This window comes from Homo sapiens, chromosome 11 (assembly GCF_000001405.40).
Source record: "Homo sapiens chromosome 11, GRCh38.p14 Primary Assembly".
Taxonomy (NCBI): Eukaryota; Metazoa; Chordata; class Mammalia; order Primates; family Hominidae; genus Homo; species Homo sapiens.
The window spans coordinates 16,041,976-16,056,110 of record NC_000011.10 but is presented as its reverse complement, the minus strand read 5'-3'; the positions used below and the strand labels follow the sequence as shown (position 1 = coordinate 16,056,110).

At 37.0% G+C, this 14,135-nt stretch overlaps 1 protein-coding gene and 1 long non-coding RNA gene across 7 annotated transcripts in view; one reads left to right on the top strand and one right to left on the bottom strand.

Annotated features, from left to right (window-relative positions):
• SOX6 (SRY-box transcription factor 6) overlaps positions 1 to 14,135 on the top strand; it is a 772,029-nt gene that overhangs the window by 682,367 nt on the left and 75,527 nt on the right. For 4 of the 6 annotated variants that reach the window (NM_001367872.1, NM_033326.3, NM_001145819.2 and 1 more), the window contains 3 exons: positions 210 to 359; positions 6,173 to 6,356; positions 9,410 to 9,597. In NM_001367872.1, the coding sequence (NP_001354801.1) occupies positions 210 to 359; positions 6,173 to 6,356; positions 9,410 to 9,597 (522 nt within the window). Of the gene's footprint in view, positions 1 to 209; positions 360 to 6,172; positions 6,399 to 9,409; positions 9,598 to 14,135 lie in introns of all 6 variants that reach the window. The other 2 variants (NM_001145811.2, NM_017508.3) reach the window with 1 other exon arrangement.
• Positions 8,789 to 14,120, bottom strand: LOC124900593 (uncharacterized). Its single transcript, XR_001748474.2, has 3 exons — positions 14,023 to 14,120; positions 9,821 to 9,863; positions 8,789 to 8,873 (listed from the first exon to the last, which is right to left on the bottom strand). It is a non-coding gene; the product is annotated as an uncharacterized LOC124900593 (long non-coding RNA).

Here is a 14,135-nt window from a genome sequence, read left to right as displayed (position 1 = left end):
GAAGGACCAGAAACAGAACTATGGCTCCCATACCTGTCCTTTTTCTTTCTGTTTTATTATTTGCCTTCTCTTAGCTTCCTTTTTTAAAAATAGTGAAAAAGAAATTACAAGGCTGTCTGAGAAATCTAACAATATGGTAAGTTTTTTCTTTTGAAACTCAATTTCAGCTGCATTTAAAGAGATCAATGTTTGTCTTCCCTGTTTTGCAGCAGCTCTATGCCGCTCAGCTGGCCAGCATGCAGGTGTCACCTGGAGCAAAGATGCCATCAACTCCACAGCCACCAAACACAGCAGGGACGGTCTCACCTACTGGGATAAAAAATGAAAAGAGAGGGACCAGCCCTGTAACTCAAGTTAAGGTACACTCGCCTTGCAGCATTGTGGAAACAGTTTAGAAAAAAGTTTCACAAGAAAGATAGTGAAGCAGGCTATGTTGGGCATAAACAGCAGGAAACATAGCAACATAAAGCAACCCCAAAATGTCCCTCTTTATGGTAAATTTCATAATTGAGCATTGAGAAACAGGTGTTTTGATAACAATAGTGCCGTATTGTGAGATCTTTACCTCAATCTGCAAACTCACTTCTCGAGAGTTTTCCCCCTTTGGATTCTGGCTTTTATTTTTTAATGATCATTGGCATGAATTGCCATGACTTTATTGCCAGTCTTTGTCATGGACTTGTGGCATTTCTCTTCATGTGTCTTAAACAGGCAGGGAGTTAACTTATAGGACCAGAGAATTGGGATATTGAAACATTAGATTTAAAAAGAAGTGCAAAATAGAATTTGATGTCGGACTCTGTATGGTTCGTTGATGAAGATCTCTCATTCAAAACTAGTTATAAATGTGGACTTAAAGTATACTTAAAAAAATAAATAAATAAAATAAAATAAAGAGGACTGTCCTTACAATGAGGGCAATGGGACAAATAAATAAAATCATAAATATGAAAAGTCTTAACATGATACCTGATCCATACTGTATCCTTAATAAATGCTCTTTGATTCATGAAAAAAAAATGTGGGCTTTAAGGAATGAGTTGTCATTGCCTAATAACGCTTTTGATGCCATATAGTTGTGATAGGATAAACAGGCTTTCCCAAGTTATGTCTGGGACATTAATAGATGTCTTCTCTCACTAATTTTCAGCGTCTTGAAACTGGGCAGCCAGGAGGTACTTGGTGAGAGGGAAATTGATGAGCCACTGCAATTTTGTGCTGCAGCTGGTACCTATAGGTGGTACTTGTTGGTTTTATGATTGCAGTTGCTTTCTATATTGAATTATCAAATTCAAACAGAGGAACAATTGTTTTGTATAATTGACTTATCTACTTGGAGGAGTATGCTAAGTACAAATGCTTTATTGTAATGTGATTAAAGTACTGCATTTGGAGAAATTTTGCAATTATTAAATCTTCACAAGGGAAACAGCTGAGACCAACCAAATTAATCATTGGATGCTATATAATCACTGAAATTGTTTTGTTTTCTAAAATTTGCATATGGGAATTTTGAGATTCCAGGAAGTCTTTTAAAAAAGTGCATCCCAAATACCAAAGATCTAAAAAAGTGAAAATCACTAAGAGAAGTAGTCTATGTTCCAGCCAAAGGAATTAATTTAATGCCACCTATTCTTTTAGATTCTCCAAAGAAATAGGAGAACATTTATGTTCTGCTGTTAGAAATATTGAGATATGACAATAGGAAGTTTACATTTAATAAGACAGAATCACTTATGGAAACAGACTATTTTATGTTCCCAGAGTTTGTGTTTATGAATAAGAGAACACTCCAACTCAAAGACACTTTGCTTACTCGTAGTTGTTAAAGTATGAGTATATCAAACATCAGTGACTTGAGCTATTGAGTATTAAATATTTTAACATAAATAAGTCATTTTATAAGTAAGTTGACCAACTGGAACTGCACCAAACCAAGTCTTTACTGGATGAGTAAAATGTTCCTTGGTTAAATTCAAGTTTATATCTGCTTTTACTATTCCATCTTTGTGAGCCAGCTGAATTTTATTACTCACTTGACCACATGCAAATTCTTAGAGATCTCTCTGGGTAATTTGACTTGACCATATTCTATGTTAATAACAAAGGAAATATTTCTTTTACTTATTAGATTTTTTATTGTATATATGGGTAAAAATATATAGACCAAAACATAAAGCAAACATTTTAAATTTAAAATATAATTCATATTACTGAAGATGTTCTGAAAATAATCTTAAAGTTTGCTAATTTAAAGAACTGTGGTTACCAAAATCTCTCACGTTTCTCTTTATAGTCATTGCTTTTTCTCTGTATATAACATGACTACTTATATTAAATTCAGACAGAATATAGGCAACATTTGCTGAAAGTATCAAAAATAAATATAGATGATCTGATGTACCTTTTCCCCCTAAAACTTTTGTCTACTATAACTGTCAACATCAGAAGTCAGAATGTTTCTGTTAAAATACTGGTTCTACCACTTTTACTAGCTATATCACCTTGGCCAAGCCACTTAGTGTCTTTCTACTTTAGTTTTCTCCTCTGAAAAAAACTGGAGTTAATATTATTATAGGTCTTAAATACACCCTCTAGTATTATAGTGAGTATTCTATAAATGTTAGTGATGGTAGTGATGCTGCTGCTGGTCATTATGATAATAAAGAAGATGGTGTGGTGGTTTTAGTGGTTGTGATTGAAATATCTAGTTGTACACAGGGAGAGATCCTAAATAAACACCTAGAGGATTTCCATTGTCAACTATGATGAAGGAACAAAAACAGATTTACTCTTCCAGCTTAAACAACTAAAACTCAGGACAAAATTGTATAAAACAATGGTTTTCAGACATTTACAATAGTAGTACAGGACAGTGATTCCTATGAGAAGAGAAACAAGTGAGGCAGGCACTACAATTTTTGCAGCTCACTATTGGAAGGAAGTTTCCAGGCAACTATGCAGGAAGCTTCATAGGCTCCCTGAGTAGAGAGACAGAGTTCAGAGTTTAGGGATGCTAATGCAGATGGAATTTGTGAGACAGGGTACCAGAGAGGAGCAAGCTGCATGGAGAACGAATGCTGAAGATCTGCAAAAGGCTGCCCCTGAGCATTTAGCTGAGTACTGATCAGCACATGCATGTGAGAAACAACCTGAGGTAAGGGGAAACACCAGAATGTAGCAAACAAAACAGCTGCAAGATTCACAAAGGACCAGAAATAGCCAGAGTGGAAAGACCTCCTGACACATGGGCATCAAGTAGATTCCCCAGAAGGGTATAACCTCAGTACTGGGGAAAAATTACCCCTACTTAGTGGCTGTTCTGACCTTGCCTAAAAATGCTTAGAAGTAAGTCTAGAAAAGGATCAAATTGTTCTGTGTCTCAGAATAAAGTTTTCAAATATTTAAAGAAATACAGAAACTTCGTCACTCCAGAAGGTAAAATTTACAATGTGTAGCATCCATTCAATAAATATCAGGCTTGCAAAGCAGCAAAATATATGAATAATGAGAAAAATCAATCAATAGAAATAGACCCCAAAATGACACAGATGATAGAATTAGTAGATAAGAAAGTAAAAACAACTATTATAAGAGACTTGCAACTAGAGCCAAATGAGATAAGCATCTGCCTTCCTAAAAAATCACCTATAAAGCTGGACAAAACTGACAAAAACAGTCATTTTGGCATTCTTAAAAATGACCAAAGTTATATACAATCTGAGAAAATATTTATGCCTCTTATATGTAAGAATAGTGGGGGTCTGTGACATTCTGGCCTAGGGCTATTGTTATTTCCCCTTCTACCAGGTTTGGTTAGCACAAAGTTGTCAGGCCAGGGCAGGCTGTGAGGACCAAGAGTTCTGCCATGGTGGAAAGGGATTCACTTAATTGGGAGTTGGTAGGTGATAGCCATGCCCAGTGGTATTATTGGTTAAAGTGGCAATTACTGAATTATAAAACTAAGTAAAAAATTAGAGTATTTCAAAGTTAAAAAAGATGTAATAAACTCCATATGTTCAAGAAGATAGAGGAAAACGTGAGCATGATAAAGCAAGACATGAAAAACCTAAATCAAATGTCTACAGATGAACAATACAGTGTTTGAGATTAAAAATATATATATACTAGATGGGTTTAGCAACAGCTTAGACATTTCAGAAGAAAAGATTAGTGAACTTGAAGACATAACAATAAAACTATCCAAAATGAAAGGCATAGAAAAAAGACTGGTCAGTACTGTGGGGCAACATCGAATAGACTAATGTATGCAATTAGAGGCCCAGAAAGAAAAGGAAGAAAGAGAAAATTGTATTTGAAGAAGTAATTACTGAAAATGTTCCAAATTTGATCAAAACTTTAAATTTAGATTTTTTAGAAGCTCAGTGAGCCCCAAATAAAAGAAACATGGAGAAAATTAAGTAAACACCTAGCATATAAATCCCTATTATTTAGATGTGAGTAAAGGAACAAACTAGTTCAAACATCCTTTGAATAAAGAGCAAAGGGAAGTAAATTGAAATTAACTACATAAGATAATTTTGACATTCATAATGGATGTAACCATGTTGCTTGAGAACCTGTCCTATGTATAAATATACATAAACGTACATTGCAACGTATGTGACAAATTGCCTTTTCCCTATGAACACACACAAAAAAATCTGTGGCATCACTATATTATCAAACAATAGACTTATTTTCTCTGGTAGTTCAGTAGAAAAGGGGCCTGAAATTTGGAGTCCAATAAATTAGAATTTAAATTCTTTCCCCCGTTATATGGCCTTAGACAAGCGATTTTGTCATTCTGACCTCCATTTTCCTATTTGTAAATTTAGAATAATACTGGCCAGGCTCATAGTCATTGACGGTTAAATGAACTAGTATATGAAAATGCTTAGTATGTGCTTGGTATATAATTGCTTCTTTGCGCATGCTGTTTTTATTTTCTCTTTCTAATCCTCCTTCTCAAGTAGTATTTTCTGGCCTCTCTTTCTGTTCCCCCTTAATCAATGATATTAGTACTGGAAGAGACCTTAGAGATCATCTAGTATCAGACCCTCTTTTCACAGATGAAGAAATTGAGCCCCAGCAAGGTCACATGGTTACTAAGGGGGAAAATGTTCTGTTACCAAACTCTATTGGGTCTTTTAAACAACGGCATTAAAAGCTAGTTCTCTTTGCCTTCTTAAAAGCAAAGTGGGAGTTAACATTTGCCGACAATTTTATTTTAGAACACAATAATGCAGATCTTAAAACTGAACATTTAAATAAATATGGTCATATTATAACTAAATTTCTAGGATGATGAAAGTGTTATTTCAAGTATTTTATGGCAGGATAAATGAGACAAAATAAAGGAAGGAGCTTAGCTTTCAAGATCCTGGATGAACTACAGTTACAAGCCAGATATTTGAATACTGTCTCAGTGAAGAAGGACATGTATCTTAAAATAGACATTCTGTAAATATATGTAGAAAAGCATATAAAGAAACATCACTTTAAACATGAAAAATAAATTGCATATAGCATAGTATGTGTAACATAATTATAATCTATCCTTGGTCTTTGCAAAAATTAATTTTAAACATGAATAGAGACCAGAATATAGACCATGAAGAGTGCCCACACCCAGAAAGCCACATAGAAGCCATGCTGTGGCATGTGGCTCCCTGGGCAGGGGCCTAGTACATCAGAAAAAGGCTTTCCATGTTTCCATTTTTAAAGTGCTTGCAATTGTTTGATTTAAAATATATATTAAGAAATTAGCTGCAGAGACTATTTATAGCTACAAGAACTTTTCAGAGAGAGTAACACAAAAGCACTACAGAGCTGCTGAAATTTTAAATAATTCTTTGTAAATGCCCTAGGTTAATTTAGATCCCTGAAAACACATTAGGAAATTAAGCTGTAATGTGAGCTAATTCAGATTTTAATTTGGCAAAAAGAATGATCCAACTACACAGTTAATGTAAATAGAAGCATAACACAGGGATATTAATGAGGTTTCCTTCCGATGAATCTTCAAGGAGGTAGATAATTAGCTTCTTTTGTTATTATTGTAGGAGAATGTGGCATTGTCTCTGAGGTGTAAAATAACTGTGGCTTACTAAGTGATAATGTGCTTCATTTGTCTTTTGTAAAAATAATTATTTACGTTAAACTCTTGTAGGATGAAGCAGCAGCACAGCCTCTGAATCTCTCATCCCGACCCAAGACAGCAGAGCCTGTAAAGTCCCCAACGTCTCCCACCCAGAACCTCTTCCCAGCCAGCAAAACCAGCCCTGTCAATCTGCCAAACAAAAGCAGCATCCCTAGCCCCATTGGAGGAAGCCTGGGAAGAGGATCCTCTTTAGGTAAATGGAAAAGTCAACACCAGGAAGAGACTTACGAATTAGGTAAAAGAAAGCAAACCTGTTTAGTTACGACTGATACTTGTTTCCAAAGTGCTCCTTAGTAAAAGATAATACTCTTATCTTTTCTACTGAAACATAACCCAATTTAGTATCTTCTTTTATTAGAACTTTTGGAAAAGGTCATAATATAAATCCTGCTGGGATGGATTCTTTAGATGATAATGAGTTCGATCCAGCAAATCATAGACTTAGGAACTTCTATATATGGTCAGTGCTTTGACACTGAGATAATTTTTCAGGGACATAGGACCTGGCTTCAAAGCAACCTTTCAAAAGACCAAAATTTATTTGAAATTTTTATCTTCTATCAAAGTGTATGTGAATTTTACATCTTATCCCATATGACTTTTGCATTAAAACAAATGTGAATGACACACTTCAAGAACATATATGAAATACTATTGATATGTAGGAAAAGATGTCATAATGTCTGGCTCCTTATACTCCCCCATATATGGCCAAGTATCTCTAGGAATATTCATAGCCCTATGTGAAAAGTATGGAGGAAAAAACATGGGTTTTGGAATGAGGCAGGCTTGGACAGAGAGCCTTCATTTTCTAGCTATGTGACCCCAAGAAAGTTATTTAATATTTTCAAGTTCAGTTTCCTAGTATTACTAGCTCATAGGTTATTATGAGGATTAAAACAGAAAAATGCATATTAAATGCCTAGTGCAGTTTAGAACCTAGAAGGCATTCAATTTAAAATGACTAGAATGAATGATTATCAATACATGTACATATATAAGTGGGATGAAACAATAAATGTGAAAGCAGTTGTCAGTAAGACAGTGCCGAATAAGCATTAACATTATTGTTACTATACTCTTTGTTTGGAAATTAAGTCTCTTAATTTGTTATACTCTTTGGAAATTAAGAGACTTAATTTCCAAACAGACACAGATTTAAAGATTAAAGGGACAAGACCTAGCATTTCTTCAGATTACCTTCCTTGTATTATTGAGTCCTGAAGTCTAAAATGCTTATTTCAATAGATAAAATAATGTATAAGAATAGCCATTAACAGCTTAAAAAACATTCTTGCCTACTTTATCTGATTTGATGTTTCACAATAATCTTATGAGTTAGATAGTATATTATTATGCTTATTGTACAAATACATACATTGTGGTTTTTACAGGTAGAATGAGTTGCCCACACTCCTGCAGCTGTTAATTAGCAGAAACAGGACTAGAATCTAGGTCCTCTCACATGTTACTCAAGTGTTCTTTTTGTAAACTCACAGTTAGAATATTTGCTAAATTGTGCTGAGTCTAAGTGAATCTTCTGATAGTGAGATGTTAATCTTCCTCAATGAATTTTGGAATATTGGATCTCTACAGGAGCATATTCTCATTTTGAGTAAGGATGTCTTTTTGGGACCTGAAAGTTTTCATGCCAAGTTAGTGATATCCATATAGAAGATAGAATTAAATCATTTCCAGCATGTGAATATGAATGCCCCTTGGCCGGATTTTTGGAAGTTGTGAGATGAGGGAAGAAAGCCAACAAGGAGATAAATTATAGAGTTGACCTTGAAATAGCCCTCCTAGAATTCACTCTGAAATTGTTTGGAAAGCATTTGTTTGCTGTCCTGAGTATCATGAGGGACAGAGATGACTGAGTCACAGGCCCTGCTTTTATGGAACTCTACTCAGCAGAGCATATTTCTTAGATCATGAGCTAGAAATGGGCTGAAGTAATAGCACCTGTGTTTGAACAGCACTCTCGTCCAGGTGATATTGGATAGAGATGTCCTTTTTACCAGAAAAGCTCCAAAATAAAAGCTGTGGGACCAAAAAGTGACTAACTTAAAAAAAAAATTCCATGTATAGCTTGGGAATTTTTTCCAAACTCAAATGCATATGCACATGCATTGTACACATCAGACATCCAGTATGAGCTTGATTCTACACTCATTTCTTCTGTCCTGCCTATGTGAGGTGTATACACACACATACACACACACACACACACACACACACACACACACGCTATGAAATGATTATACGAGCCCTCAAGCAAGTGGATCACACTAACATTTGTCACAGCAGATGAAACCTATCATCAAAAAATTGCCCTCTTTTTGTCTAAAATTGGAAAATCTTATTCAAAGTATTCATTTTACCCACAGTAAAATGCAAGATATCGTTGGAAATAAGTCAGTTTAATATTGAAGATTTTCCTTCTGTGTTGCTTGAAATACACTGGAAGTAAATATTTATTCTCACTTTTTTTTTGAAGCTTTGTAGTTATGCGAAAACCAGTCCCACACATATCGCCTCATTGTCATGAAGTGAGGGAGCTGATCACAGTGGGTGTTCGAGCTGGGGGTGGGGAATGGGTTGTCATTCTCTTGGTAAATAACTGAGGCAGCTTGATGAGAAGAATGCTTCATTAACCAGCCAGCAACTGGGGTACTGGAGAGTACGGTGAATTCCTTCCGCCCCCTCTTTCCTGCAGTGGACATATGAACACACAGATACAGATATCACTAAAGTACACATGTGGCCTCACAGATTTTTTTATTTTTTCTGCGGGCCAGAAATGACTGTGTTGTATTATCACAGCAACTATAATGGGTAGCCTGGACAAACATCTCTGCCTCCTGCCCACTCCTCAACCCCTTCCTCCCCATAATTTCCCCACAGAAGAGGCAACATTGTGCACCAGTTGTACATACAGGCAGAGCAAATACCTTCCCCCAATATGTATACAATTGGAGTCTAGGAACTGTAGTCTGTGAGGAGGTGAGTAGACAGAATCCAGGTAGGCTGGAGTGCTGGGGTTTTCTCCAAGGGCTAAAAGAACCCAGCACAGCTTGGTTGCCCTGGCTCTGTGTTCTATGTATATTAGCGTATAGTTTAAAAAATAGCAAATGTGCACCCCTTCCTTGTTCAGAGAATGCAGCTTTCTACAGGGGAGGGGATAGTAGTAGTACTTTTTAGGAGTCTGACCTCACAAGCATCTAATAATGCATCCTGTGTATGCAGATATCCTATCTAGTCTCAACTCCCCTGCCCTTTTTGGGGATCAGGATACAGTGATGAAAGCCATTCAGGAGGCGCGGAAGATGCGAGAGCAGATCCAGCGGGAGCAACAGCAGCAACAGCCACATGGTGTTGACGGGAAACTGTCCTCCATAAATAATATGGGGCTGAACAGCTGCAGGAATGAAAAGGTAAAACTGCTTCCTTGTGTCACTGGATCTGCTAGACTTATTGGCTCACTCTCATCTGGTTCTTTCCAGGCTCCCAGGTATCAACCTGCAGCCATAGATTTGGGCTTCCAGCTTGAGGGCTGTCTTGTACTTTACTGAAATCTGTCATGTAGCATCTGTAAGCATTATTGTTGATTAACAAATACGCCCTTTCCCACCCAGTGTAAGTTGCCTCCCAACCTACCTGCCTATTGGTGTTTTTCTGTCACATTCTGAAATAGATGTATCTTAAAATAAAGGAGATGTATGATGTTATTAGAATAAAAGTAGAGTACCAGAATATTAAAAAAGGAAGACACATATGTGTTTACAATGAAGACTAATATGTTACCATGACTCACCATTAAATGTAATACTAAACTTCCTGTCAACCAGGACAAAAAAATGAAGCAAAACAAAGCAATTTGCAAATTGCATTCATTTGGTTTTTGATCCAGCAAATTATTTATTGTTTATTCTATGATGGACTCTGTTCTAGGCGCTGGAGATACAGCAGTGAGCAAATCTGACAAAGACACCTGCTTTCCTAGAGCTTATATTCTAATAGGAGAACACAGACAATGAAGAAATAAACAATTAAATAGAAAATGTAATGGCAGGAAGTCAATAAATGCCGTGAGAAAAAATAGAAGCAAGTTAAAGGAATAGGGTGTTATAGGGCTGGCATGTTAGATGAAGTGGTAAGGACTCTCTGAGGAAGTGACATTGACATCTGAATGAAGCAACAGTCCAGGCCATATGAAAGGCAGGAGCAGGGGCATTCTAGGCACTAGGAATGATGAACATGCAGGCCCTTGGAGGATTAGACCAGCACCAAGGAGGCCAGTGTGGCAGGAATGGCACAAGAGACGACACAGCCGGGGATCATAAAGTAAAAGTGATAGGCTGGGCAGAGCTTATTATTACCTGGTACACCCTGGAAAGGCTTTTCATTTTATTCTGAGTGTGATGGGAATCCCTAGACTGATTTTGTCCAGGACATTGACATGATCTGATTTACATATAAAAGGATCATTCTGCCTACTGTGGAAGATTGGACTATATTGGAGGTTAAGAATGGAAACAGGGAGACTGGTTGAGAGGCTATTAGTAGACTGTGAAAAATTCTGATTATCTGATAGAAGGGTACTAATCTGATCATGGGGGCTCTACCCTCATAACCTCATCTAAACCTAATTACCTCCCAAAGACCCACCTCCAGTGACCATCACATTGCAGATTGGGGATTCAAGATAAGGGATTCTGAGGGGACACAAAAATTATCTCCATAGTACCCTATATTGTTGAATTTGTATTATCTGTTGAAGTTCAAACTTAGACACTATTAACTTCAAATTCTACAGATTAATTTTAAGTATTTCTCATTGACTTTTTAAATTCATTTGGGAGGGAAAAGTCTGAAGTTTAAAAGGATAAAACTTTATTTTGCTTTGGAACACACGGGAGAGGGATGAGAGATGAGGTTAAGATAGATACATAGATGATAGATAGATAGATAGATAGATAGACAGATAGACAGATAGATAGATAGATAAATTTGAACTTGACCTAAAACATATCACACTGAATATAACTGAGTCCCAGAAGGTAAGCTGCAAAATTGTTTCAATGGAACCAGAAAACCCTGGTTTCCAAGTTGAAGGGAGCTGTTTTCTCAGTAGACAACCTTACTGGGGTTGAATTTGGGGCATGGGAAAAGTTCATTACTAGGGATGTTGTGTTCATGAGCTCTCCTTAACATGGTCTCTCTCCTGCATAATGTTACTGTTTTGCACATATATTTTGTGATTCTTGTAGGCTTTGTTTAGTATCTAGAATCAGTATCTATGATTGCTTGCTAGATTAGTTCAAGTCAGAAGAATAAATGAAGGACAGCACTAATGGATTCCTGTGATGGTAGCTTTGGCTTTCTTATAATCAAAATATCAGTCTTAATTTTATGGGGTTCCATGGGGCACTACTTTTTCTTCTGAGCATCAGATTTTCTTCTGAGCCAAAGAGGGTAAATATTAATGTATAATGTGCAATTAAACTGGAAAATGAATTATGACAAATTCAGTTTAACTCTCTTCAAAGTTATTCACGTTGGAATAATCTGTTTCCTTAAATATAAGATCTATCCATTAGATTTATGAATTTGTTCTTTGTAGCTCATAATACAGTTGTAGGTAATTTTTTGTGGTGTTGCTGACATAAAACCTTATAATTTATTAAGCATACCTCTTCTCTCCCTCATTTGGACACTCTTTGCAGAGGAATGTGGCACAGATTTGGGTTTCCTGGGAAACAGGTCATGAGATGAAGATCAGCATGCAGGTTTATTAGGGAGTGCTTTTAGAATTGCTAAGGGAAGGGAGAAGACAAAAGCCTGTACAGCATAGTGAGACCCCATCTCTAAAAAATAAACAAGTTTTAATTTTTTAAAAAAACCCAGGACTGTGCAGAGGGAGAGGTTGTACTCTGGTGCAGTCTCAACTAGGGTCTCTAGCAACCTCATAGGAAGCTTCCAGGCTGCCATGGCCATTCAGAATTGTCCTAAGTTGGGGTGAGAGTGTGAGCTTTTGTACCCCTGCATCAACCAGTCATTGGATAAGTGACGCCATGGGAAGAGGACATGACCTTGAGTGAGGTGACTCTCTCCAGCTAAGGCAATGCTGAAGAGGGCCGACAGCCAAGGGCTAGCTACCAACAGCATTTCCAGCAGCTGAGGGAATAAATCTTCCAGTCCTGAAGCAGGGGGGGATCTGTGCTGCACATCAGTGTCCACTGTAGCTTGTTACATTTAGTAATATTAGATGTGTACAAGACAGTCTTTGTATATATCATAAATGTGGGCCAACACTTACTAACAGGCATAGGGATGCTTATGTCTTTACAGTACTTATAGAATCATATATGTGTCCATATGATTACACGTTTACTCATGATGGGTCTCACTGTATTGGGTAAATCCCTATTTTGGCACTTTAAAATGAAACATTATTGACTTGATTGGCCAGCACGGCACCAGTGGAGTCATTGTCGACTGTGTCGATGTGTCACGGGGTATTTAGGATCTGTTAAATATATACATTGTAGGGACAATAGACTGTAATGGCACCTTATGAGCTATTCTGCTCCATCGTTTCAACATAGCTTCTGTGCATGAATTGTCAGTGTCCTGCCAGCAGATGTCTAAGTTACCGCCCTGGGTTGTAGCTTTCCACACAAAGAACACCAGCCATCTTCACCCCAGTCTAAGTACCAGTGCAATTAGATCATACTATAGCCTAATTGCTTACCAAATTTTGTTGTTTTGACATCTCTAAGATAGAGAGTATTTTAGTCATGACAATACATAACAGAATTTTAATTAGGCTGCTTCTAAGTCTCCTCAGAGCTAAGCTAAGGGCATCTGGCAAGAAGACATGCAAGGCAGGGTGGGCCTTTTTAATGAAGGGGTAGATGTTAAAGTATGTTCTGTAACTCTCTGACCTTCTTGATGTTTGAATGCTGACTCAGTGAAAGCATTGGTTGGAATGCTTTCCTGCGTAGGTGTTATGTGAGCCAGTAGACTGATTACCTACTGATCACAACTGCACATGAAAAGTCAGATTGCACATCTGTACACATGTGTCCTGAGCTGCTATTCACTTCCTTATCTGGGAATCACTTGAGAAAAATACTTGACCTCATCAGGTGTCAAAGTGAGCTACAGTGGACACTATTATCACACTTTACTTGCCTCTGAAGTATATGGGTAGAATTAAAACTGTAGAGTAAAAGAATTGGAGGGAGCATTACATTTGATCAAGTTCAATCACTTCAATTTGCATATGGGAAAACTGAAACCTAGAGAGAGAAAAGGACTTACCCACAGTCATAGTGTATTTGTAGCAGGACAGAAATTAAATCTCAGCTTTCCTGATTCCTAGTTAATTGTATTTCCACTTATAGAACAATACCAGATTCATTTATTAATTTCCTATGATATCTTACATTTTACATTGGCAATCTCAAAGCTTTGATGAAATAAAGCAGGTAATAAATAAAAACAGCGAAGCAGAAAAGCATTTAGCTCCCTGCTTTCTCTATACTTGTCACCTTCTACCTGGGTAGGGTATTCTTTCCTGCCATGGTGTCCGTTGCTGCTGGCGCTGGAAAGCTACCAGTCAGGAAATAGAGGATTGAATGGTGCTGGTATAGACAAAGAAACAAAAGAGGTGGCTAGACCAACAGCAGTCATAGAAAGACAGACTACATGTAGATTACAAAGAACATGGATTTTAGAGTTGATTAATCCTGGGTCTCAGTTCTCCCTGTGCTATTTTCTAACTGTGTTACTTAAGTAAATTATTTAACCTCTCTGAGTCTCAATGATCATTTCTATAAAATGGAGATAATTACCATTTTCTTGAAGGGATGTTTTGAAGAAAAGCATATGTACAGCATATAGCTTGCTCAGAAGATGCTCAATTAATATCACATTCTTTCTCACTTTCAGATGGCAGGCAGCTTGT